This window comes from Homo sapiens, chromosome 18 (genome assembly GCF_000001405.40).
Source record: "Homo sapiens chromosome 18, GRCh38.p14 Primary Assembly".
In the NCBI taxonomy this organism is placed as follows: Eukaryota; Metazoa; Chordata; class Mammalia; order Primates; family Hominidae; genus Homo; species Homo sapiens.
The window spans coordinates 56067660-56093928 of record NC_000018.10 but is presented as its reverse complement, the minus strand read 5'-3'; the positions used below and the strand labels follow the sequence as shown (position 1 = coordinate 56093928).

Here is a 26269-nt window from a genome sequence, read left to right as displayed (position 1 = left end):
TCATTAAATAAGAAGAGTAACAGAACAGAACTCAACCCAGGGACTTGTTACAACAAGGATTCAATGAGAAAATGCATGCACCATTTTAGCACAGTGCCTGAGTTATAATATATGCTCCATAATTATTGGCTGTTGGTGTTGCTACTACATAAGGACGATTTTTTAACAGTTCAGTGTTTTGATGTAGCCTATAGCAAATTAAAAGCTATCCTTACTCATGTTTTGTTTTACCCTTTTTACTATTGCCTTTATTGGATTTGTATTGACAATACCACTTAGCATAGAAATTTCATTTTAGATTTCATTCATGTGCATTGGTCATTTTGTCTACCCAGTATTTCTACATCTTTTCTTTGGTATGAGCATTCTAGCTGTCTTTTGAGAAATTACTATCCCTACGTTTTATGCGGTCCTCCTAATGGACTTGTCAATCACAGTGTCCTGCTAGCTACGTCTTCCATTCACAAAGTAGGGACATGACATGCCCTAAGCCAGGATAATCTCTATTCTAGAATTTTGTCACAGGACCAGATCTACTGATACTAACTCACTCATAGTCAATATTATACGTATCTCAGAAGCGATTTTAGCTCTCTATGTTCTGTTGCTTGACTATTACTTTAATTGTGGAAGTTTTAAGTTCACTATCTTTCTAACAAGTTAATCCTTTCCCTTAAATTCGGCCAGATTGTTATTCTGTGGCTTTCAACAAAGTAACCATAGCAGGTAAAACATTGCTCAGCTACATCAACACTGAATGAACAACTAACTATCTTCTGAGCAAGTGAGAATTGGAAGGTAGAAGGTAATTCAAAAAAGCATGAGACATAGTTCTGGTTTAAAAGAGATTGCAATTCAAATAGAAAGAAAAAACAAATATGGATAGAAATTAATTCAGGAACAACTAAGTGATAAGTAGTGGACAATTAAGTATTAGGTTAAATCATATGCAATTTCTCTTTTCATAAGTTAAAAAAACTATTGGCAATTTCATGTGGGTTAGTGTAATGGAATTCTAATGGAACATAAGAAAAGAAGGGAAAAACAGAAACAAAAACAAGATGAGCACTCTGCAATGGGAAAAGCTCCACGTAGGAGGTGAAACTTGAGCTGGACCTAAACGTGTGGACAGGCTTTGAAGAAAAGGAAAAGGACTTGGAAAGAAGAAGTGAATTAGGTAAGGCATAGAGATGGAAAAAAACATTCACCTTGAGGATCAAAAAGGAGCTCAGCTTGATGTCAGAAAAGGACATGTTTGGGAGATCGGTAGAAAGCATGCAGGGAGAATTGCATGAATAGCTGTAGTAGGCAGAATAATGGCCCGTAAAGGAGTGTGTGTCCTAATCTCCAGGATCTATGAATATGTTAGAATACAAGACAAAGAGGAATTAAGATTGCTAACCAAATGACCTTAAAATAGAGGGATTATCCTAGTTTATGCTGTTGGGCCCAATGTGTCACAAGGGTTCTATAAGTAGAAGAGGAGGCAAAAGAGAAGCTTGCAGCGACATGCTTTGAAGCTTTGCTTTGCAGCTCTGGCTTTGAGGATGGAGGAATGGCACCACAAAATGAGAAATGTGAGCAGCTTCTAAAATAGAAACAGGGCAGGAAATGGATTCTTACTTCCCTGTAGCCTCCGTAGGGAACACCTCTCTGCCCAAACCATGATTTTAGCCCAAGGAGATCTGTGTTCGACTTCATACCTATAGAACTGTAAGATACTCACTGTGTGTTGCTTGGAGCCACTAAGCTTTTGACAATGTCTTACTGCAGCAACAGGAAACAAGTATAATGGTATTTAAAACAATTAATAAAAAAATAAGGTATGGCTACTGACCAGTCAGAATGAATGCCCAACCAATCAAAAGTACCTGCTGAACATCAGCTCAGAGTAGATGGGATATAGCCACGTTACAGAGGGCTTTGAACTCGATTCCATGGATAACATGTCATCTATTGAGGTGTTAGGTATGAATGTATTCTGGTAAAAAACATAAGATCAATGGATGTTATCAGTGGCCCCTCTAACACACCTCTGTCCACACTGGAGTAAATTTTCATTTAAAAGTTGCCTGGTTTAAACATACCAACATTTTTTAAACTCTGTATGATTCACCTGTGGGACCTGCCAGATTATTTTGTTTGATTATTTATGCTTAAATTATTAATGCAGCAGATAGTGTTGATGTTTATTGCTCATACTAGGCACAGTTCTTTGGCAGTCACTTTTCTCAGCAAGAGAATGAACTAAATGAAACAAAAATTAAAAATTCATAACATTTAAAGCTTTCTTTTTTGTATAAGTTATAAATTAGATGGAAGAATGGAGTTTTTTCCTCTTTCCCCAAAACATGAGATGAAATGGCAGAGATTAGAACATCAGCAAGGGACCACTTCTGAGACTAAAAGTGAAAAAGGATGAGATTACATCAGGAAGTTTTGTGGCTTATTTGGGAGGATCATCCTAGAAGAAAGGCCGACTTTGTCACTTTTCTTCTTCTTTTCTTATATACAGTCAATAGCTCAATCTTTTTTTGTCCAAAACTATTTAATCTTATTTACACCTTTAGTGATTAGAAAAATGCCTTCCAAATTAAAAAAAAAAAAAAAAAAGCTACTTTTGTGAATGAAACTCTCATACATTGGAAGTTATTTAGTCTGTGGGTTCTATGATGTGGTGCATGCATTCCTGTATGTTTGACTATTAAAAGCAAAGCCACGTGGTGTAAGAGATAGGGCATGGGCTTTAGAATCCAATGGAGGGGTTTCAAACCTCAGCTCTTTCATTTACCAGCCATGCTGTTGGAGCATGTTAGTTGATACCTTTAAGTGTCCTATCTATAAAATCAGGATTAAAAAAGGCCTCAGCAGGCTATTAAGAACAAAGCTCACACATATATAGCTTACTATGTGCCAAGTACTGTTCTACTTTTTACACCTATTAGCTCATTTAATTCTCGCAACAACACTATGTGCTTGATCCTATTTTACAAATGAAGAAACCCAGACTTAGAGAGGTTTCTTATAATTTGCTTAAAGTCTCACAGCTAGTAAGTGGCAGAGCTGAGATCTGAACCCAGGCAGTCGGACCCCAAAGTCTATGATCTTAACTATTTAGTCTAATTACTGGTTTCCTTCCTCATTTCTTATCTGAAGGATTATACAGGCAATATTCAGCTTAAAAATAGGTTCCATTTGAAAATTCCCTTTGAAATTGTTAATTTGCCACTTTGAATTTATTTTATCCCAAAATTGTGCTACCAAAACAATGCATCTATTCCAGGTTATTAACAAAAAACAAACATATAAATAAAAATCAAACCTTTCATGGAAATAAAATATTATATATTTGTAATGCTAAAGAAGAAAAGTACCATAGAAGATAGTATAAATGACACCACGAAGACGATTGAACATTTCTAGCCCTCAGTTATCTTATTTGTGAAAGATCCTAGCTGTCCCTAAGATCCAAATAAGATGAGAATAAGGAAGTAAATGGAAATTGTGGTGGGAAATCTGAAGGGGGAGTTTAGGGTGCATGAATGCACTTGGAATTTGATGATGTGGGCTTTTATTTTGTTTAATTTCCCTTTAAAGTATATAAATCCCCTTTCTCTTGATATAGATTCACCACCATCACTACTCTAAGTATTTTTCTTCTTGAGAAAGAGAAGGAGAGGGAAAGCAAGGAAGAGGAAGAGAAAGAGAAATGGATAAAAACATGGTCAAGTAGAAGAGTCTGTGGTGAGTTGAGGAACAAGACAAGATGGAGGTGGTAGTTGGAGAAATTGAGGATGCACATGAACCAGTGCCTTAGGGGACCAAATAGCTGCTGAACTTGGCCTTCATGGTAGTAGTGATGGCAGTGATGATGATTTCAAGAACTATGAGGTATGAGGGCTGCTTTGAATGAACTGGGGGATTTATTGGAAGACAATGACAAGTTCAGGGCTTTAAACTCTCTGCTCAAATTATAGTAAGAGAACTAGAAAGCTTTTGCTAAGGTGGCTCCTAAAGATTCTCTTCCTATAACCATAGAGCTGACTTAAAGAGACCTCTCTTTCTCTTTCTCAAGAAGAAAAATAGAGTAGTGCTGGTGGTGAATCTATATCAAGTAAGAGGGAAGTGAGAGTAAGAGGGAAGTGAAGTAAGACAGTATAAACGGCACCGAAAGACGACTGAACATTTGCAAATCCAGACTCTCTGTTAAGTGCATTCATATCAAGAAATTCAATTCAATCCAACGTTACATTCCATCATCTAACCCTTAGAAGTCATTCCCACACACATGCTAGGCTTCTATCATTATAAATTAACAAAATTTTACTTGTTTTTGTTTTGTGGAAGCTAGCTCTTCCCAGATCAGATTTTGTACCCCCGGCACTTGCTAAGAAATGATCCTGGTTATAGGTGTAGAGATAGTAAGTGGTAGTTGGGGTAAGTTTTAAGGAGAATAGGCATTCTCTTGCAAGGCAGCTGCCCCAAGTGAGGTTATTACAGGGTCTTCAAGCAAAGGGAAACTAGTCTTCTCGAACAGAGGGGAATGAGCTGCTTCTACTGGGAAGGGAGGCTCATAGCCATTTGGGGATTCAAGATTCTCAGCTTTGACTCAATTGATCCAGATGCCACATCCAAAGAGTCAAGGTCCCACTTCTCCCCAGTCAATACCCTAAATTTCACATAAGAAGGTTGGTGAGTCTGTGCGACTTTGCAATCCACATAAGAATCTGAGTTTGATTCTCAATTAGGTCAGCTCTATGGTTATAGGAAGAGAATCTTTAGGAATCGCCAGAGCAAAAGCTTTCTAGTTCTCTTACTATAATTTGAGCAGAGAGTTTAAAGCCTTGAACTTGTCATTGTCCTCCAATAAGTCCCCCAGTTCATTCAAAGCAGCCCTCATACCTCATAGTTCTTGAAATCATCATCACTGCCTTTACTACTTCCTTGAAGGCCAAGTTCAGCAGCTATTTGGTCCCCTAAGACACTGGTTCAATTGGCACTTTATCACAATTAGTCACAATTAGTCAAGATGCCACTGCATGCCATAAAATACTACTATTTCATTTCCATTAGCAGGGTGCAGCATTGCACTCAAGCCCAGGGATTTAAACCAATCCCATAACTCCATTTGGAGGACCTCTCTTCTGGGACTACTCCTGATATAAGTACTGTACATTCAGGGTCCATGAGAGAAATAAAAACCACATTGGGAATTTCAACTGGGAAATTTAATAAAGAAATTTAGAAAATTCCAGAACAAAAAGGCAATCCAGCCGGAGATCTGGTAGTTCAAAGGAGGGGCCAAATGGAGAATGGGATGCAGACCTTTGAGGCAGAGAAAGTACCTGGATGCTGCAGTTCCTTGACGGGGTATGAGGAAGCAGGTTCTTTGTACTAGGAGGAGTGGAAGATGCCATTCCCAGAATAATGCTATTAGAACAGCTTAGACCTTGAAGAAAGAAGTCCCTTTTCTTCTCCTGGCTTTCTTTCTTTAGTATCTTCTATTGACAGAACCTAACTGGAAATAAAGGAAAACTAGTTTTCAGAGTCCTGGTTGCAGTATCACAGAACAGATCATAGAAGGCCAGGTTTGGAATGAGAGACAGTAACTAAATCACTGCACAACGAGTGAGGGATGAAGGAGTTGGCAGTTACATGTAAGGAGCATGTGTGGCCAAACCATTCACACAGTGCCTATATGTACATAACTATAGCCATGGACTAAGATAATCAAACCATTAACCAAACCAATGTAGCCAAATTGGTTTAAAAGTTTATTTGTACCAAACTGATAAACTTTTTTTCTTCATTTGACACTGTTTCGGAGATGTTGCACATCAAGCTTTTAGCTAGCCGTGTGTACAAAATCTTCCAGCCTAGTATAAGATGAAGAAAATATCTGCTGCCATGATTCCCCATGGACAACTGATAGACACCGTGAGCAACAGGACTTGGATTTCTGAACATTTGCTCTGTGGCAAAGCCATACAGATATCCCCATGTGAACTGGAAATATCTCAGGCTAATCCACTTTATCAGTGTAAACCTGAATCTGAGTCTAGTGTGAAGTACAGTGAAAACTTAAACTGTGTTGTTAAGTAAAATATCTGACATAAATGTATAGATGAATGATTTAGAAAATGAATATCTGATCCATTTTTGTTACAGATTTCAGGTAAATCCAGATTTGGAGCTTAAATGACTCAAATGCTTTGCCTACATTGATCCTACATTCAGGCTGCTTACATATCTCTTGGCTTCTCTGAGAACCAGATTGTCACCACTTAAAGGTCTGTTAGAATTTTCACAAAACCTTCTCAACTGATTTCTTCTTCATGGGAAAGTAAAAGCAATGAAAATGCCTTCAAGTTAACTAGGTCTTATTAGGTACAAATTGTTGCAAGGAAAGTGAGGTGGGATGGAAGTAGAAGGTTGTTCTGAAATCATCTTACAAATGTCAGCATTCAAGACCTGAGTAATCCAAGATAGCAAGAGCAGATCAATGATCTCTATACAGAATGCTCTACAAAGGACTTGGAAGGAACGGTAAACCCACAGGGCTTTCAACCCTCTTCCTATGAACAATGGGGCTCATAGGGTTTGCAAGATACAGGAAGAAGCTCCTGGAGATGCCAGACAAAGAAGGAAAGGTGATCCATCAACCTCCACCTGCTTTACAAACAGACAGCCCCTGCTTAGCAGCCCCTTGTGGATGAGGCTAAGCTGAGTGAATGGAGTCGAGTGGAGATGTTCCCACCTTGCGGAGCTTCCTAGAGTGGCTGCTGCTTCCTTCGATGTCACAAATTGGGCAAATCCTCCAACAATAAGGCACCCCAGACTGTGCTCCAGCTTTCAGAGGGAGCCTTTCACGCCAGCTTTCAGCCGTGGGCTGTAATGGTGCCACATGCGTCAATGGGGCTAGGATCTGTCCCCTAAGCACTGCGGTCAGAGGCCCAGTGAGTGATGTGGTCTAGGGCCGTGGATGCTCACTCACATTCTGCTTTGGTCTTGACCACAGCATCAGAAATGATTTGATGCATTGGGTTTGAACATGTTTTGAGTTACTCTGTATTGCATACACATGTAAAACAAATCTGGGAACCCACAAGTGTGTGACCAATTATTTTGCTCCTCTGCAAAGTGTTTATTAAATTTTCAAAAACGAGATGATACAAAGAGGCAAACAACAGAAGCAATCACAAATCCAAAACAGTTTTCAAATCTATAAACAATTTTTGAAAAACATTCAAGTAACTTTCCAACTGTGTTGCCAATGCAGTGAGGAAAACAGATCTTTCTTAAGGTTCGGGAAATTTTCAAGTGTGTCAGAGTGACCCACACACATCTGTTGGGATGTTCTGAGTGGCAGTGAATTCACGGAGAAGCTCTTGCTCCAGACTTTCAGGATACAAAAGCATCAAAAGCAAGTCCTTGCATCTTGGTGCCCTTTAGTGACTCTAGGTCTCTCAAGATTGGAAGCCCAGAGACCTTGGTCCAAGACCAACTTCTGCGCCTAGTCATATAAGAGATATTGGACAAACCACATTGAGCCTTAGCCTTTTATCTATGAAAAGAAATGCTTTGTCAAACCATTAGCAGTGACTCATTAAGAGGTTTTAAAGACAATTTAGTGGGTCATACCAATATTTTAGAAGAAAACAAAACAGAATCCAACCAAAGAGAAAATATCAGAGTGTATTACAAGTAGCGAAAATAGGCCTTGTTTTAGGAAATTTCTGTTTCAATACGTGTGTGTATTGAAATTGTTTTGTTCCTCTATAACATGCTTATTAACTTTTAAAAATGAAAAAAATATAAAGAGGTAAATGCCGGAAGCAATCACAAACAAGCCCCAGTTTTTAACAATTTCTGAAAAACATTAACTTTCCATTTTGCTGGCAAGTAATATATTTTTCTGTACTAGGTTATACAATAAAGTGTTTTTCTTAATAAAGATTTTGGTCAAGAGGCTTAAAAAACACCCCTCTTAAGTTTCTGTCCAGCTCTAATATTCTATGATTCCCAAAGATAGAAGGGACCTGCTCACTGAGCCGTAATGATAATACTCTCATGTAACATTTTTTAGCACTTACTACGTTTCCAGGCACCGTGTCAATTGCTTTCCATGCATCATCTCATTGAACACTCCCAACAACCCTATGTGTTAGGTAATCATGATGCTGTTTTACAAAGACTGAGGAAATTAAGCAATCTTGGAGAGGTTCAGAACATAGAGTTAGCAGGAGAGCCAAGATTTGAAACTTACAGGCTGACTCCCAAGTCTTTAATTTTTCTTATGATTTGCTGCCAAACACGTGAGATTGTGAGCATCAGTTAGTAACTGGGCCTCTGGTACAGATGGGCGCAGGTCTTTTGCCTGAATTTCCATGTGAAGGAGGATGACCAATCATTTCTCTTCCTCTTGACTAGGGGAAGGTGCATTGTGCATTTCAAAAGCCTGCCTAGCCCGGGGAGATAAGGGGGTCGTTTTATCTCTTTGCATTTCATTTTACTCATCTGTAAATCAAATTTCCCTCAGTGTCTTCCAGAGTCCTCACGAGTATCAGAGAAGGCATAATCTGTACACGTGGCTTCATTTAAAATGAAAATATCAAGCAGTGTCATTTTCACAAGTATCCCCACACTGTCTGAGGCTGAAAAGAAGAGTGTAGCTATGCACACTGCAGTGAGAAGAAAATTTCAGCTCAATTGGAGGATGTAAAGGTACAAGTAAGGTTTCAGCAGAAGCGCTCATGAACCCCACATGAAGTCTTTCTTCTTTCTTAGCTCATACCCCCTTTAATGCATGGATGCTGGCTTAACTTTATCAGGAGTCAGAATAGGCTTCTGTGTGTATTCTTGACTAGAAGTAAAACAAATATTTTCTTTCTAAAGTTATTGAGTCCCATTGATCTATGTGAAATTTCACCATTAGATAGTCATTCCTTTTGCTTGAAGGCTTTGGGACTGCAGAAATTCCTGATTAAAAATTAAACCTTTCTATGGTTCACGAGCAAAATAATTAATCGCCTAAATGACAATTAGGTCATTCTATAATTGAATAAAATTCCAATGATACACAAACAGTAAGTTCAATTGGGAACCATGGGTAAGATTCACAGTGTACAGCATGATCTGGAGAGACAAGCTTGGTTGGGGGTCTAAGTAAAGCATGAAATACAGTCGGGAGGGTCACAGAAAAGCATCGAAGACAACTCTTAGCCACTTGTAAAATTTTGCAAGAAGTTGCAATACTCCAGAATAATCACAATCTTTTCATACAGTGCTTCCCAGTTTATAACATGTTATTCTATTTAACACTCCCAGCATCCCTTGGGGTAGATATTTCTGGAGGAGGAAACTAAGGAGAGAAGGGATGTGACTCGACCGAGGTCACCCACTGTGAAATGGCAGGTCATACAACTCCTGAGCCCTTCTGAATCAACCACACTTTCTTCCCAGGCAGATGGGCTCATTCTCAGTGCCCAGATCTGAGCTCAACCATTCTCTCTCTGGAAAAAGACATCTCATGCCACTTTTGACACATGTCAGGGAACACAGAGATACATCAAAGAATACATTCTGGCTTTAATGCCTACCAGTGAAATAAAAGACTGGAGATGTGGCTGCGTGTGGTACAGGCACACACACCACAATGCACACACAGCACACATACAGGATCACTGGGAAGAGTGTCTGTTCTAGGTTCATAATTCAACCAAAATGTATCAGTGATTAAAGCAATTGAGCTTTGCTCCCATCTCTGATTTCGCCTTGACTTTCAGTCCTCTGCTTCTTTCTCCTTTTCTCCCCGCCCACTTTTTAGTGGCCTTTGTTCTTCGTTCCTGAGCCATCTGGTTGCAAAGTATGGTAGGAGCACAGTGCAGCAGGCACATGAAAAAGCAGTACAAAAAAAAAAAATAGTAGGAGTGAAAACAAAAGACATGAAGATCCTGAATTTTTAATTTCTCTTTTCAGATTGAAATACCACTGCTCCTAGTTCTGATGCAAAATTGAAAAGAGTGCACTGGGTCTTCAAATGGCATATTGACAAGGAGAAAGAGGAAAGGATGCCCCAGGACAGCCTGGGGGTCAAGGCTGGGCTCAGGCATGCCTGGACAAGCCATGCAAGTTGTCTCCGGACTTGAACCACGTATCAGAGGAGCTATTTGAGGAGCCACATCAGCATACCTGCTTCTGTGGGCCCCCAGGCTGTGGTGCTCAGCCCTTGCACTATGAAACATTTTTTTTTTCCAGAAGCCAAAGCTTTGAGCATCTCCTCCCATGTAGAGAGTGTATATGTTTACGTCCATGTCTTTCGCCATGTGAACGCATGCAACCACCACCTCAAATATCATAAATCCTCTCTCTCCCCCTTTCTGTCTGCCTGTTTATCTACAATCTGTCTATTTAAATTCTTTTTAAACAAGAAGGGAATATCTTTATGCCTGTTTGTAGGGATATTCTACATCCATCTGTTATTTACATCATTCGTTTTCCTGAGGTGTCTCCAACAAATCCTGGCTGGATGCACTGTATGTGTTATTAATAAAACAGCTGTAAAAATATTAACTGTACGGCCTAATTGTCAGCCCTGATTGGGAGCCAAGTTTATCCCCGGACGGATGCGGAGACTCAGAATTTGGGCTTCCATCCAGATCTGACCCTTGCAGCTCACTTTACATTTGATTCTTTGACCATTTAAGCTGTTCTGGCTTCTTTTTCCTCCCAGGGATCTGTGCACATCCGGCCTCCTGGCCTCCTGGCTCCTTCAGGTGGCGCTGGTCCAGCTTCCTGAATGTTCATGGCCAGGCCTTTCTCCTCCTCCCCCTACTTTTGTTAAACTTAACAGCCATATGCTATAGAATCACCTTCCAGTAACTTAAAAGATGAGTAGAAATATTGTCAGCATTGCCTCTCTCTGCACACTGGTAGGAAATAGCATTTGGAGAGTCTGCATTGGAAAACACATCTCTATTAAAAGCATTGGGTTAGGATACCAGAAAACCCAGAGTGATTGGCTGCAAAGTGATACTTCCTTAGTATCTGGAATCAGATCAATCTTTCAGCCAAACCTTCTGGATAGGGAAGATAAATGAAGAGGTGATAATACATTTTATTTTTAATGAAGTGCTCAAAATAAACCAAATGAGGGCAGAAGTTGGCAAATGAGGCATTTTTTTACTGTGCCCTCCTTGGGATAGTTGGATTAACCCTGACTGGCTTATACCTAAGTGAGGCTGAAGTGTTTACTGTGGGGCAAGACTGGGAGGACAGACATTGCATAGAAAAAAACTTGATTCTGCCAGTATCCAGAAAGCCTTGGCGTCGTCTGCATCTAATTCTTAGGTGATTTCATAGAAGAACGTCCTTAGGTAGGGTGGTATGATGGTTTGCTTCATTACACATGAAATACATAAATTATCTGCCAACATTTCATAGGCCAAAACATTAATGACACCATTCAAGCTCTTAGTCCCAGTAACATTTAACATGGCTGTGATTAGCTGTCAAAAAGTTGGATAAGATTTGATGCTTTATGTTTGTTTGTTTTTTTTCTCTACTGCGACTTTCTTCATGATTGCAATATTCCACTCCAGTGAAGGGTTTTGGAAATTTTACAGGATTGGCCTTTGATTTTGCTTATTTTTTTAGGAAGATTCCAAGCAGGCTCTCCTGCCATAGAAGATTACCTCTCATATTCTCTTAACCTCACATTTTCCAGGCCATCACTGCAAATGTTTCCAAAAAGACTGCTTGTCCTGGGGTCACCATTCCAATTCTCATAACCATTAGTATTGACAATCTGGTAGGACACTAATTGTTTGTTTGACTTTCACATTTTTAAACAATCACTTGTAAGGGGAACCCATATTTTTGTCTCTAACAGAAGTGATGAAAATTTAAAAAGAGAAACCAAAAACTTCAAATTACCAGTCCTTAAAAGAAACTGCAGCAGGATGTCAATGAAATCATCAAATACACTGCTGGAGAGCTGACCTCAACAGAAAATTTAACACTCCACTATCTTGCTTGAAAAATACAGATGTTTTTTATACATGGTCAATTGCCTTCCAAAAATGTCTGCATTGTAAAATGTTTTTGTCTAACAATTGGACTAGATTAAAGTGACTTCATGGAGACAAACTGTTTTTAGCCTTGAAAGAGCTAGTAATTATTAGATGTTTCAATGGAAGCTACCTCTTTTTTCCACCTTTGTTTACCATATAGTTACCTGAGTTTAAATGTGTTGGTGTTTCCTGACCCATATCTTATAAATGTATGACAAATTAAATGTCTTTTCAATGAAGCAAAAGGAAAATGTTTAATAGAAATCTTAACTTTCATGAGAGCAAGAACTTGCTTTATCTACCATATGTGTCTCCCATAGTGCTTAACAGACAGCTGTTTGCCAATAGAGCTCAATATTCATTGACTAATGACCAAGTTAATCAAATTCTCTACTTGGCATAAGAGGGAGGTCTAAGTTTCTTCCTGCTTTAAGCTTCTATATTGAACTCTTACATGGTAAAAAGACTTTTAGCAATTCTTTATTTTATTTAAATGTTCAACAGTGTTTGCTGAGTATTTTCTATGGTGCTTAGCACAGGGGTAGGCACCAGGATGGATTCATAAATAAATGTGAGACTTGCCTCCCACCAATAAAAATTGTATAATTTGTTTGTGGAGCCAGGATATCACATAGCAGAGGCATTGTAAAATCTGGAGTAGAATGGTAGTAACTGCATATAGGCAGATAGGGCATTCAATTTCAAGGAAAAAGGGCTGTGGGATTAGTTACAAGACAAAACTTCACATGAAAGACAATGGAGGAGCTGGATCATCTAGAAAGCAGAAAATGAGGAAAAAATAAGCAGTTTAAGATTGAAGACTTGGTAGACCCAACATATACATTGCTGAACTTCTTGTCCTAAAGCCTAAATAACAATAACAGATGGAGACTAACTGGTAAGCTCAAAGTTTGGTGATAATTCAAGCTTTTCTTATAATCAATGTTTATGATGTGAAAAAAAGTCTGCACTCAAGTGTCCGGTATGCATTAATAAGTTACTGAATATGTTTAAGACGGAACAAACGTTATGCCATTGTTAATGTTCATTAAAATGTGGCATTCCGAGAAGGTGAGAAGTTAATTTTTGGTGATGGCTTCTGGAAGTAGATGGAATGAATAGTCCTGAGGGTATTCTATTACCAGAGAGAAGGCTACTGAGGAGATAAGTTTAACTTCCATGATTCTGGAAATCTCAAGTGAAAAAAACTTTAAAAATGACAAATTCAGGAAATATTTACTATTTCAAACAAAACACTGACTTTCCATTACTTTTGCCTGGCAGAGAAGTGAAAATATTGATCTCAGAGGAGATAGCTTTTTGTTTAGGAAAATATTCTGATATGCTTTTTTTTTTTTTTTTTTTTTTTTTTTTGTAAACGATGCCCCTGCTATCTTAAAAGATAGGATGAAAAAAGAGAGAGAGAGAGAGCTAAGCTGCACTACATAAAAAGTTAACTGGACTTTGGGAACTGGTCACTGATGCCTCACTGGTGGTTGGAGAGGGCTGAGCAACTTGGCAAGAGGCTGGCAAGAAGCCTAGAAAGAAAAGACAGCCATGCAGACATCCAGGTGGAGTGGATAACTGAGGGGCTTTTAAGAGTAGTGGTGATTAATATTCAGTTGTCAATGTTTCCTATTCTGAGCTGTGCTGAAACCATTCACTTCTATCTTTAAAGCTTTAGTTAAGATCTGCCCAGAGATGTGTTGAGTGTTGGGAGAGAGTAGAGCAGTGCTTAAGTCTGGGTCAAAGTAGTGTAGAAAGAGGATGTTGGTTATGGGAGCTGAGATAGATAATTTAGGGCAGGCTGCCCAATGACTGACCCTGGAGAACAACAGCCTTCCCTTGGGAATGCTCAAAGGTTTCAGGAAGAGTGTGGAGGACATGGGTAGAGGCTTGAGCCATTTCATTTGGATAGTGAAGAAAAGGGAAATATCAGGCTCCTGACATGCAGGTAAATTTTAGCCATGCTGAGACAGCTGGATGAACAGAATGATGACAACATATCTATCCATCCGTCCATCCATCCATCCATCTGCTAATTGATTCAATCATTCGTCATTCAGTAAGTACCAAGAACCTATTATATGTGAATCACTACATTACGAGAGACACAGTTTCTTTTGTCCAGATTTCAATTTTAAGTATTAATGTATACACAAAGCACATTAAAGAAATAAAACCCAAAGCTTCAAGGATGAGGTTGACTTTATATGGGCCTCGGAGAATGACTTACATTTGAATAAGAATCAAATGAGAGATTCCAACATGGATACCCTGGGAAGTCACTCTCCCCAGGCTCTGTCTAAATGGCATAGGGGAGCATAGGGTCCCATCCCAGGATGTACTGTCCTTTGCCACAAGTTAGAGATGAAGCTGGGTCTGGTGTCTGTGCCTGAATATTCCTACAGCTTCTGAGTCCTGTGGACAATGACAGAGGAGACAGACCATGCAGGAAATTTGTCTAGTATAAAATAAAACTAAAAGAAAGAATTAAAGGAGGGAAGAATAACATTCACAGCAACTCTTTATATTTAGATACTATTTTGTAATTTATCATGAAATTTCATGTATAATAGCTGATCTATCATCACAACTGCCCTTTGAGTAGGTATTATTATTCTTATCTCTCAGAAGACAAAACTGAAGATCATAGTTTGAGCGACGTGTTCCAAAAACATAAAATTAGACCATGTGAATAATTCAATGATCAGAGTAATTGTTACTAGTTTTCTCTCAGATCTGAAAATATTCCCTGACTTGCTCATCATTTTAATAGTTTATATTAAAAGTAGAGGACATATAATGAAATTTAAACTAATAAAAGATAGAAATAATGAAAGATTACTGATTAAATCATTCATTCTTCATCTGAATAGCCAATTCCCCATCTTATATGATACAATTCTCAAAAATGTTATGGTCATGTCATTTTTCTGGGATGCATCACATAAACGAGAAGATACTTTAGAGAGTATTTGGGTGTTGATAAATGCATCTATTGCATACCACCTCTGCTTATTCCTATCCTAACATTATGAACAGTGCTAAAGAAATACTAACTATAGTCTCTGCCCCAAAGAAGCTTCTCATCTTCTATGTAGAAGTTTTCTCCTTTCATGAAAGAACTGTGATGACTTTAACTTCCACCTAAGAGCTCAAACATGGAAACATTTTACCAAGTTAAAAATAAGCAATTTCTAACATTCATTAATTACACCAGGATGAGTTATCAAGAAGAAAAGTAATTGGCATAAGCATTTTCTTTCCCTACTCCCATTCTGGGTAGAAGTTAGCACTGTATCTCTAAATGTTCAAGTTGTCCTTACTCCCATGTCTGTAGGGGAAATGGAAACTTCCTTTCATGACTTTATCCTCCTCATCCCACTCTCCTTCGGACTTTGAGTGTCATTAAGTTGGGTAAGGAGAGGCAGAACTTTGGCGATTTGGGGGTGAAGACGTAGGAACAACTGGATCCACCAGAAAGACAGAGATTCCTTAGAATTCCTCCAGCACAGAGAAGCCATAGACTTTCCAGCAATGGGCCACATTGTGGGCCACGCTCCAGTGAGGAACTGCTATGGGGTGCTGGGAGGGAGACACTGGACACATGCACAGCACTGACCTTGAAGGCAGCAATGAGTTTCCCAATGGGCGTGACCATAGCCAGTTTTGTTGACGGCTAAAAAGGACCCCTCTGCAGCCTCCTGGAGCAGCCGCCTGAGTGTTGCTGGAATACCAGCACCTGACTAAAGGGACAACAGAAATAATGGTGACTCTAAGGAAGGAAATGTCCCTCAATTTTTCTCCCAGCACACACACAAAATCAATATCTTTTTAAAGGGTTAATGAAACTAGTTTCACTAGTCAGATACGTGGGTGCTCAGAGCAAATTTAATTTAATAAGGACTAGAAACTCCACGTGTGCCATTCCTTGCCCTTAAGTGTTGTGAGGTATAAGTCACCTACATTTACAGGCAGCTGATCCTCATGAATCAGGGATTTCCTATTTGGGGATTTGCCTACTTGCTAAAATTTATTTCTAATCCCAAAATCAATACTGGAGGTACTTTTGCAATTACTCATGAACATGGTCAGAGCAGTGAAAAATTTGAATTCTCACACTCACGTTTCTAGCTGGATCAAATAAGGTGACACTCCCCCTTCTTGTTTCAGCTTTCTTATTGCAAACATGTGTCCTTTACATGGTCTATTTAGTGCCACAATTTTTACAATTTTCTGCTTCCTGTTGATGATTTTGCTGTTTAAAATGGCCCCCAAACATACAGCTGAAGTGCTGTGTAGTGTTTCTATGTGCAAGAAGGCTGGGATGTACCTAATGAAGAAAATATGTGTTAGATAAGCATCATTTAGGAATGAGTTATAATGATTTTGGCCATGTGTTCAATATTAATGAATCAACAACATATATTAAATAAGGTGTCTTTAAACAGAAACACACATGAAACAACGTTATGTATTGACTGGTGGACAAAAATGTTGTAAACAGTAGCTTGCAGGAATCTAACCCTGTATTTCCCCTAAGAGAATGACCCTGTATTTCCCCAAGAGCAAAGACCAATGACTTGGACTTTATAACTATCATGAATAATAAGAATCTACTATATTTATGGATTCTTTGACTCAACCTATTATGTGCAAAACATCCCATTAAGCAGCAAAACAAAAATAGGCAATAAATTCTGCAATTTCTGCAAGATCCTAATATACTGCAACCATACCATTCACCACAGAACAAAATTCAATGCAGGTTCTCTTTCATTCAGGAAGTGTTTTGGGCCTCATGATTATTTCTGGAAGTAAAGGAGATAATTATAAGGCATTCTCCTTTATACAAAAGCTCTAACAAGAACCCTGAGCACAGCTCTGAGGATGTTTGTAGTGTGACTTCAGTGTATTTGCGGTCAATGCTTCCTGTTATAAACACAGGACTCTGGATTCCCAGGGGGCTTTGTGAGCATCTGATACTGGATGGGACTTGGCATGTTGCATCCCAGCACAGGAGTGTATGTAAACAGGTTGGAAAATGATCAGCTTGACCCCTTCCCAATGTAGGCAAGGTTAACAAACAAACAAAATGCACACAACCTATGCCTATGAGAATGTTGGTTTTGCACGTGTATAAATTGGAAACTGACAAGTTTACAAAGTGAATGTGGCTAATGATGACTGATGCTTGACTTACGAGGTTGGAGCCAAAAAAGTCAGCTATTTGCTATGGGGCCAACTTTAAGTTCTGGAGCATTTTAATCCTAATTTAGTATTTTGTCACACTTTTGTGATTATGTCACCAAAGAAGCAATTGCAGTCCTCAGGTGAGCCTCATGGGTAATTGGGTTGAGTTCTAGCATATTTCCAAGACTTGGTAGCAACATTATAACTAAACAGTAAAGAAGTAGTCTAGAAGGTAAGCACCAGAAGGATGAGAATTTTTGGCTGTATTGCTCATCACTACATCCCTGGAGCCTAGAACAGGGCTTGGCATAAGGGAAGCACTCCATAAATACTTGTTAAACTAGGTCCATTTAACACTTTAATATGCTGTGATATGAGTGCTAGTGTTTCTGGATATAGAGCATCATGTATCTCTGTCCTGCTTCTCATACCTTTGTTACTCCCCTCCCCAGCCCAATCTATCCCAGTCTCTACTTTGCCCTCTAAGCAGCCAGTGATTTCAACCCCAGAAGAAACCAACAGAAGAAGCAGAAGCTCCATTGCTGGGCAGAAAGTCACCAAGTACCCATCTAGTTCTATGACGTGGGCCTCTATTCCCAGTGATCCTGCTCCTGACCACTTCCAGAGGAGAGTCTATTATTTCAGAGAAATCACACCTCTGCCATGTAGAGGACTGATTATTTACTTACAGGCAATTGGTAGTATTTTGCATAAGGATCTTAGCTTGTTTTAGCAAGGATGCCTTTGAGGTGATGGAGTTGTTGATTTTGTGGCTGCTAATGATATTTTTAAATTTAGAAATTTTTCCCTTTTATGTATCATAACCCACCCAGAACCCAAATTTCTCTCCAGAGTTTTTAGGAGGCATTAGGCAGGCTATTTGGGATTAGAACTCATGTTGTTCTATGCAGTTTTTCTCCATCCCCTATTTCAAGGATTCCTCCTTATAACTGAGTTTCTCTAAGCCTCTGTTTCTTGTCATACTTTTTTCTTTTTTTTGAGACATAGTCTTGCTCTGTCACCCAGTCACCCAGGCTTGTGTACAGTAGCACAATAATGGCTCACTGCAGCCTTGGCCTCTTGGGCTCAAGTGGTCCTCACACCTCAGCTTCCCAAGTAACTGGGACCACAGGCATGTGCCATCACGCCCAGCTAATTTTTTTTTTTTTTTTGTAGAGATAGGGTCTCACTATATTGTTCAGGCTGGTCTCGAACTCCTGGGTTCAAACAATCCACCTACTTTGGCCTCCCAAAGTGATGAGATCATAGACATGAGCCACTGCATTGGGCCCTTGTCATATTTCTTTGGGGCAAACTCCCTTGTTATGTGGGTGATATGACTTTGCCATGAATAAGTAAAAATTTACCATTTGCACTTATTATTCACTTGCTGTATGCTGAGCTCTTGAAGGGTACTTGGACTGAATTGTATCTCTTCCCATGTTAAAGCCCTAACCCCTAATGTAACTGTATTTGGAGATAATCCTTTAGGAGGTAATTGCAGTTAAATGAGGTCATAATGGTAGAACCCCAATCCCACAGGGCTGGTTCCTTGTAAGAAGAGGAATGAACATCAGAGCTCTCTCTTACTGAAATGTGAAGACGCAGCAAGAAGGCAGCTGTCTACAAGCTAGGAAGAAAGCCCTCACCCAAAACCAAGTTGGCCGACACTTGGACTTCTCCACCTCCAGAGCTATGAGAAATAAATTTCTGTTAAGTTACTCAGTCTGTGGAATTTTGTTATGGCAGACCCAGCTGATTTAAACAAAGGGATTTTCTACTTTCTATGTAATTCAATAAGTTTGCAGATTAATTACAGCATTGAAAGTTACAATCTATATGTCATAAGAGCATTAAAGCACACACAAGTCCTCTCATCTGCCATGAGATCTTATCTATAGACCTCTCATCACACTCACCTTCAATTACAAAACCTCTCATTGTTGCAAAGTTCTCACCCAGACAAGATCTTGCATATGCTCATAGACAAGTTTTCTTGGCTACTACATGGGGGCTTCCTCTTGATTTCTCATTGCCCATCTCTCACAATTTTCACAGTGCATCCTCCAGAGTTCACAGCCTGCAGCTATCTCCCTCAAGTTTCCTTACAGATTCCAATGCTGTAGAAGCACTGGCATCTTTGAGGGTCCAAAATGGCAGGTGCCATGTTCTCTGGAATTTTCAGTCCACCTAACTACACCTCATCTTACTTCCACTCTCCTTAATCACCTTCCATCCCACAGGACTCAGACATGGATCCATACTGAGTTGGACCACAGACAAATACAAATCTGAGTCACAACATTCATGCTGTCTCCACATGGAAACCTTATCTCTCCAAGAGCCAGGCTTTTTTTCTGATTCCATCTTCCACTAGGTTAAGTTCTCTCTCAAGAGTTCCCTCACTTCTCCCTGCTACATTTAGTTGCATGTCTGGAGGTTACCAAAAGTTTAAATTATATATTGTTATGACCTTAGTTCATGCCTTTGAGATGTATATGTATGTGTATATATACATACACATACATATACATCTCAAAGGCATGAACTAAGATCATATATATATCATATACATATATATCATATACATATATATATCATATACATATATATACACACACACATATACACACAGGCTTTAATATATATAATCATTTTTATGATCATAAAAGACTACTCAATCGGTATGGGAAATTTGCAAAACACACACAAAAAAAGAACAACATAAAAAAATTAGAACCCTATCCCTGTTCTCCGACATTATGTAATTTCATCTTTACATATTTCAGTATGTGTCTTTAAAATGTAATAACACTTTTAAAATACCACTATCACAATTTTTAAAAACTAACAAAATTAAGGCCGGGCATGGTGGCTCACACCTGTAATCCCAGCACTTTGGAAGGCCAAGGCGGGCAGATTACCTGAGGTCAGGAGTTCGAGACCAGCCTGGCCAACATGGCAGAACCCCGTCTCTACTAAAAATACAAAAATTAGCCAGATGTGGTGGTGCACCTGTAGTCCCAGCTACTCGGGAGTCTGAGGCAGGAGGATTGCTTGAACCCAGGAGGCAGACGTTGCAGTGAGCAAAGATCACACCACTGCACTCCAGCCTGGGCAAGAGAGCAAGACTCCAGTTCAAAAAAAAAATTAACAAAATTGTAATTGTATTATTCATATCTAGTTAGTGTTTAAATATTATCAATTGTTTTGTAATCTTTTACAGTGTGTTTGCTTGTATCAAGATCTTAATAATGTTCTTAGATTACAACTGGTTGTATTTCACTAAGTCTCTTTTAATCTCTAAGCTTTTGTATCCATTAGTAGTTTTCCCTTACGATGTATTTGTTGAAGAAACCAGATTATTTGCCCGTCATAGTTTCCCACAGCTTGGATTTTGATAAATTAAATAATCAGGGTATCATTTAACATGTTCTGCTATCCCCTGTATTTCCAGTAAATTTGCAGTTAGACCTAATTATCTGTGGTCTGCAGACCCCAAACAATTCATGAATATAATTCAGGGACACACTTGGGGAAAAAATGACATATTTATTTTTACTAACTTCCAACTAAAATTTAGTATGCTCTTCAATTAAAAAATTAGCCAAAAAACAACAGTAATTTTAATAGTATATGTGACTTTGCCATCAATAGAAATCATATTTTCCTATCATATTCCAACTGTTGCAAGATATACCTAAATATCATTTCATCTTACCATGACTTCAAAATTATTGCAGCTATTGGACCTGCCTTTAGATCTGATTATTGAACGTGTTGATGAAGAAGCCCCAACATATTGTGTGTGTGTGTGTATCATATATATAGGTGTGTACACATACACATACATATTTTTTTCTATTATTTGAGTAACTGTATTTAACATAATTGAGTTTAGTTACTGACAGGGTCTGGCTCTGTGTTCCCACCCAAATCTCATCTCAAATTGTAATCCCCATAATCCCCAGGTGTCGAGGGTGGGACCTGGTGGGAGGTGATTGGATCATGGGGGAAGATTCCCCCATCCTGTTCTCATGATACTGAGTGAGTTCTCATGAGATCTGATGGTTTTATAGTGTTTGGTAGTTCCTCCTTCTCTCTCTCTCTCTCTTTCCTGCTACCTTGTGAAGAAACTCTCTCTCTCTCTCTCTTTCCTGCTACCTTGTGAAGAAGGTACTTGCTTCTTCCTCACCTTCTGTCATGATCGTAAGTTTCCTGAGGCCTCCCCACTCAGATGGAACTGTGAGTCAATTAAACCTCTTCCTTTTGTACATTACCCAGTTTTGAATATTCCTTTTAGCAGTGTGAAATGGACTAATACACTTACCAACTTTTGTGTTTTATTTTATGTCTTTAAAATATTATTATCAAAAGGGGTTCAATTGGACTCACTAGCCTGCCCAAGCCCTTTGGAGCACAAAAGAGTGAAGAATCCCTGAGTCTTGATCCTATGTGAGTTCTGATTTTTGTCTAAAACACTTTATAGGAAGAATTGTGCAGCACTCTTATGGAGAGGCATATAATGTCTTGTTTCTCTTTATTTGTTTTTGTAATATTAGTGACCATTGATGATCATTGCCCAATCCATTAATGGTTACAAAATGGTGATATTCTAATTTTATAATTTCTTTTATATATATAGTTTAAATGCTTCTTTAAAAGAAAACATTCTAATCAACTATCTAATGACTTTGAGATGAATTTCATTTAGGAAAGCAAGATAAATGCTTGATTCTTTCCTTTCATTTTTCAGTTTTCAACATATTGAGCTGACTCCATAGAATCCTCCAAAGGGGGATTCCAATGAATTTTTGTTTTCTTCTGTTTTGTGTTTAATATCATTGTGAACTTATAAATGTAAATACAGTTTTGTGTGTTTTCAATGGGTTGCACCTATTATTCTTAGTGATACTAAACTGCCCCATGTTTGGCCAGAGGAATCTCTTGAAGTTGTCTCCTGAGTCCTTTTAACATGACCATTATCCTTGATAGCATCATTGCTCTCCAGAATGACAAAATGTTCCAGATCCATACTGTTTATTTTCTACCCTAGACATGAAATCGTGTTCTGTTTATTTCAGTATGATATTTAGAAACCACAATCTGTGTGTTAAGGGTACCAATTGCTATTGTGTTGACATTACTTCTAGTACTTTTTATCATACAGACCTGGAAAATATTTTTAAGAGAAGATACAGCAACAATAATTTGGTCAATAGCATACTTTATCCTGTAAGCACACAAAATACAGTCGCAGAAAAATAGTATCAATGTTATCATCACTAACATAATTACATAAAACAGTTTAACATTCTTCTGCTGTTCTTCTTGTTCTCGAACAGTATCACCCTAAGGATGACCAAATACATTCTTGAGTTTTAATATCATTTGTAATAATTCCTTTTGGTATATTTAGGCTACCAACTCAAAAACAATTTCTTTTGCTTCAGATTTTTAATGATCACTTTTTAAAAACACTTCTCTATAATTGTGTAAAAATATTTTAAGTTTCCAAAAGTCCCCCTTAACAAAACAAGATATAATCAGATAAGCCAAGCTCATGTCCAGCCACCTCTACCTTGTTCGCTTACTTTCCTTATAGATAAATACCTTTTAAAGTTTATTCTCTCATAATTTTCTTAAATACAATTATTCAAATATGTGTCTATATTAGCATTTCCTCTTTTTTTGATAAATGGTTTTATAACATAAACACTTTCTCCTCCTTGCTTTTTCCTTGGGATTGTTCCAATGCAGTTTTGTAGAGATTTTTAAATCTTCTTTACAACTGCATAGTATTTTATCACGTGGATTTACCAGTCATTTACTTAAACAGATCCCTCTGGGTGAATATTTGGTTTATTTCTGATATTTTACTATTACAGTTGGGCTGCAGTGAATATAGAATGCATCTGGGCGACATTTCTCTTTTCACGTCTGCCAGTGTGTCCTTATGATGGAGTCTTAGAAGTGAGTAAATGTAAGTTGGTTAGATATTGCCAAATTCCCTTCCACAGATGTGGTATCATTTTGCTTCCCACTAGCAGTGTAAGAGAGTGCCTGCTCTCCCACAACTTTGCCAACTGAGTATATTTTCCAAACTTCTGGATTTTTGCCAATCTGGTATGTGAGAAATGGACAGGATATTATATTTTGCTTTTCTCTTATTAGGAGCAAGGCTGAGCATATTATAATTAGGAGCCATTTGCTTTTCTTTTTTAAGAAACAGTCTGTTCATTTCCCTAGCCCATTTATCTACCAAGTTGCAGTCTTTTTCTTCTCTATTTTTAGAAGCTCTTTATATATTAGACATGTTCAACCTTTGTGATAAAAGTTGCAGTTTTTCCCATTCGTCATTTTTCTTTACGTTGCTTAGAGTATTTTCTCCTTGCAAACGTATTTTTTTTAATGCCATCAAGTTTAACTTTTTCCTTAATGCTTCTGGATTTTGATAAGTAGTTGAGACAGTTCTCCTCATCCTAGCTATTGGAGGAAAATATCCATGTCTTCTCTTCAAACATGTATAGTTTCATTTATTTCACATTTAGATCTCCGAGTCTTTTGGAATTTATCCTGGCTTACAATGTGAGAAATGGATCCAATTTTATCTTTTTCCATATGGCTATTCACTTATCCCAACACCACTTATTTAAAAGTCCATCTTTTCACCACCAATCTGAAATGTCACCTTTATTGTGTATTAAATTTCCATATGCAATTGGGTCTATTTCTGGAATTTCTATTCATTGATCTATCTATTCGTGTGTGTATATCCTTCTGTATTAATTATAAAGGCTTTATAATGTACTTAAATATCTGATATAGCCAACCCTTCCCAAACTCGTTGCTCTTCTTTTGCAAGAATTCCTGACTACTCTAGCTTATTTTTTCTTCTAAATGGTATTTTTGAATGATGTTACATTTATAAATTAACTAAAGGAGAACTGACTGTTGTCTATCCACAAAAGTGGTATGACTTTCCATTTCTTCAAGTCAACATTTACATTTTTCAGGAGTGTTTTTAGTTTTCTTCACATAGATTTTGTACAATTTTTGTTTCTTTTTATGCTTAGGTTTATCATTACTACTATCTTAAATAAATCTTCTATATATCCTCTAACTACTTTTAGTTTGTATATATGAAGGTTGTTTATGATAATTTTTTTTTCTATCTACTACTTTACTAAATTCTTCTATCACTTGTGGTACTTTTTCCATTGAGTTTTTTGGGATTTCCAGATATATACATGTCTTCTGCTACTAGATATGTTTTTACTCTTCCTTTCTATTTCTTATGTATGACAGATTTTATCCTATTTGATTTTTACTAAACACTCTATGAGCATTGCACAAAAATATTAAATGGTCTTTGAAGTACAATTTTAATGGTAGCATGTATTTTACTATTTGGATACATCACAACTTATGTAGTCATTTCCAACTTGAAATTCAGGTTTCCTCTTTTTACTCTTATAAATAAGGATGCAATGAATATTTTTTGTTTAAATATATTTGTGCTTCTGATTAGATCTTTAGTGAATATTCATAGAAGAGGAGTCACTACATCAAATAGCATGCCAAATTTTAAGAGTTTTTAAATATGTAACTGACAAAATTCCCTCCAGAACCGATGAACCAAGGTATACTTGAACCAGCGGGTGTGTCTTCCTTCACTACATCCTCACAAATCTAGGTATTTAAAGAGTTAACGACAGCTCAGTAGGCAAACAATACCTCATCATTATATGACAGGTTAGTTGAGCAATCTCAATTCAACGTAGGTATATCCATGAAGCAATTGTATCAGAGAAAGGGAGTGTGAGGGAATACGGCCAGTACATTCTACTTATATGGACACAATAGCAATATTTTTCCTGTGGGGTGTTACTACTTTTCTTATTTAGACTAAGCAGACATTGATATCTCTGCATGGCAGGCATTGAGGTTCTGGTTCTTCCAAGGAGTGATGTAGTCTTTTTGGTCTTTTAGAGCTCCCATTGACACACTTTCCTGCTCTGGGAAATCAGGCTTAATCTCAATCTCTGTATCTCCTCTCAGTCTCCATCACTGGAATCATCTCACCCACTGGGCAGGCTTTTTGAGCATGTGAATACTAGCTACAGTTTCTGGTGTCCTTATGACTCACTAGAAATGTATGCATCCTTGGGGATACCCATTGGTGGAAGTGCAGGCTGCTCCTTGACCACCCCATCTTGTAACTTTCTTGCATTTCTCATCCCTAATTAGATAGGCACAGCAGCAGATCAGAAAGCCTGTTCATCCAGAAGCAGAGTTCTAGCCAGGAAAGTGAATACCAGTCTGCAACTTCAACCTCAATGGGTGACTATCTGTGAAGCTCCTCTGCTGGGGGAGAGTGGGCAGCCTCTCCCTTGCCCACTGGGAGAAAAGGGAGTGACCCCGGGTGAGTAACAGTTCCACACTGCCTGACCACTCCCAGGGTTGATCCTGTCCCTCATGCCTCCTTTCCAGGCCTCTGCTTATATAATGATGATGCGGGGTTGGGGTCTGGCTGTTCTTTTACATGTTGAGCACTTAGCACCTGTTGTTTTTGGCTGTGGGCCTAGTGCTGACTCCAGAGCAGCAGTAGAAGCCCCCCTCCACATCCTACTATGCTTGTTTTTATTTCTATTTCTTTGCTTAGTAGTAACATTGGATGTTTTTCACATGTTTACTAATGATCATATTTCTTCTATTATGAATTGTCTGTTCTTTATGGCTTGTGCTTTATTTTTTATTTTCTTCCTCTCTATCTAGTGAAGTTTTCTTCTTGGGAAATAAGCTCACTGAGTTTTCCGGGCTGCAAAACTTTATAGCCCCACCGGTTCTGAATTTAACACAATCGCTTTCCAATTGTAGTTTCTGCCTTTAGGGTAAGAGTATTAATATTCAAGATACAACGAGCTAAGAAACAGGATACACAGATCTACTACTTGATATTCAGCATCTGGTTTATAAATTTGTGCTAAATATGCACAAAC

The 26269-nt window shown here is 38.3% G+C and overlaps 3 long non-coding RNA genes and 1 other non-coding gene across 6 annotated transcripts in view; 3 read left to right on the top strand and 1 right to left on the bottom strand.

The window, feature by feature from the left end:
• Window positions 1-10573, top strand: part of LINC01539 (long intergenic non-protein coding RNA 1539) — a 54181-nt gene extending 43608 nt beyond the window's left edge. Inside the window, exons 6-9 of one of the 2 annotated variants that reach the window (NR_040026.1) lie at window positions 3626-3744; window positions 6169-6290; window positions 8540-8724; window positions 9979-10573. This is a non-coding gene — a long non-coding RNA (long intergenic non-protein coding RNA 1539). The remainder of the gene's footprint in view (window positions 1-3625; window positions 3745-6168; window positions 6291-8539; window positions 8725-9978) is intronic. The other variant, NR_040025.1, reaches the window with a different exon arrangement.
• LINC03069 (long intergenic non-protein coding RNA 3069) overlaps window positions 1-26269 on the top strand; it is a 187650-nt gene that overhangs the window by 97334 nt on the left and 64047 nt on the right. The gene's annotated exons all lie outside the window — the stretch shown is intronic.
• LINC01905 (long intergenic non-protein coding RNA 1905) overlaps window positions 1-26269 on the bottom strand; it is a 54038-nt gene that overhangs the window by 2387 nt on the left and 25382 nt on the right. The window contains exon 3 of one of the 2 annotated variants that reach the window (NR_146510.1): window positions 5346-5514. The exons of the other annotated variant lie outside the window; for it this stretch is intronic. This is a non-coding gene — a long non-coding RNA (long intergenic non-protein coding RNA 1905). The remainder of the gene's footprint in view (window positions 1-5345; window positions 5515-26269) is intronic. 2 annotated transcript variants of the gene reach the window in all.
• On the top strand, window positions 14335-14535 carry LOC124904363 (small nucleolar RNA SNORA73 family). Its single transcript, XR_007066477.1, has one exon. It is a non-coding gene; the product is annotated as a small nucleolar RNA SNORA73 family (small nucleolar RNA).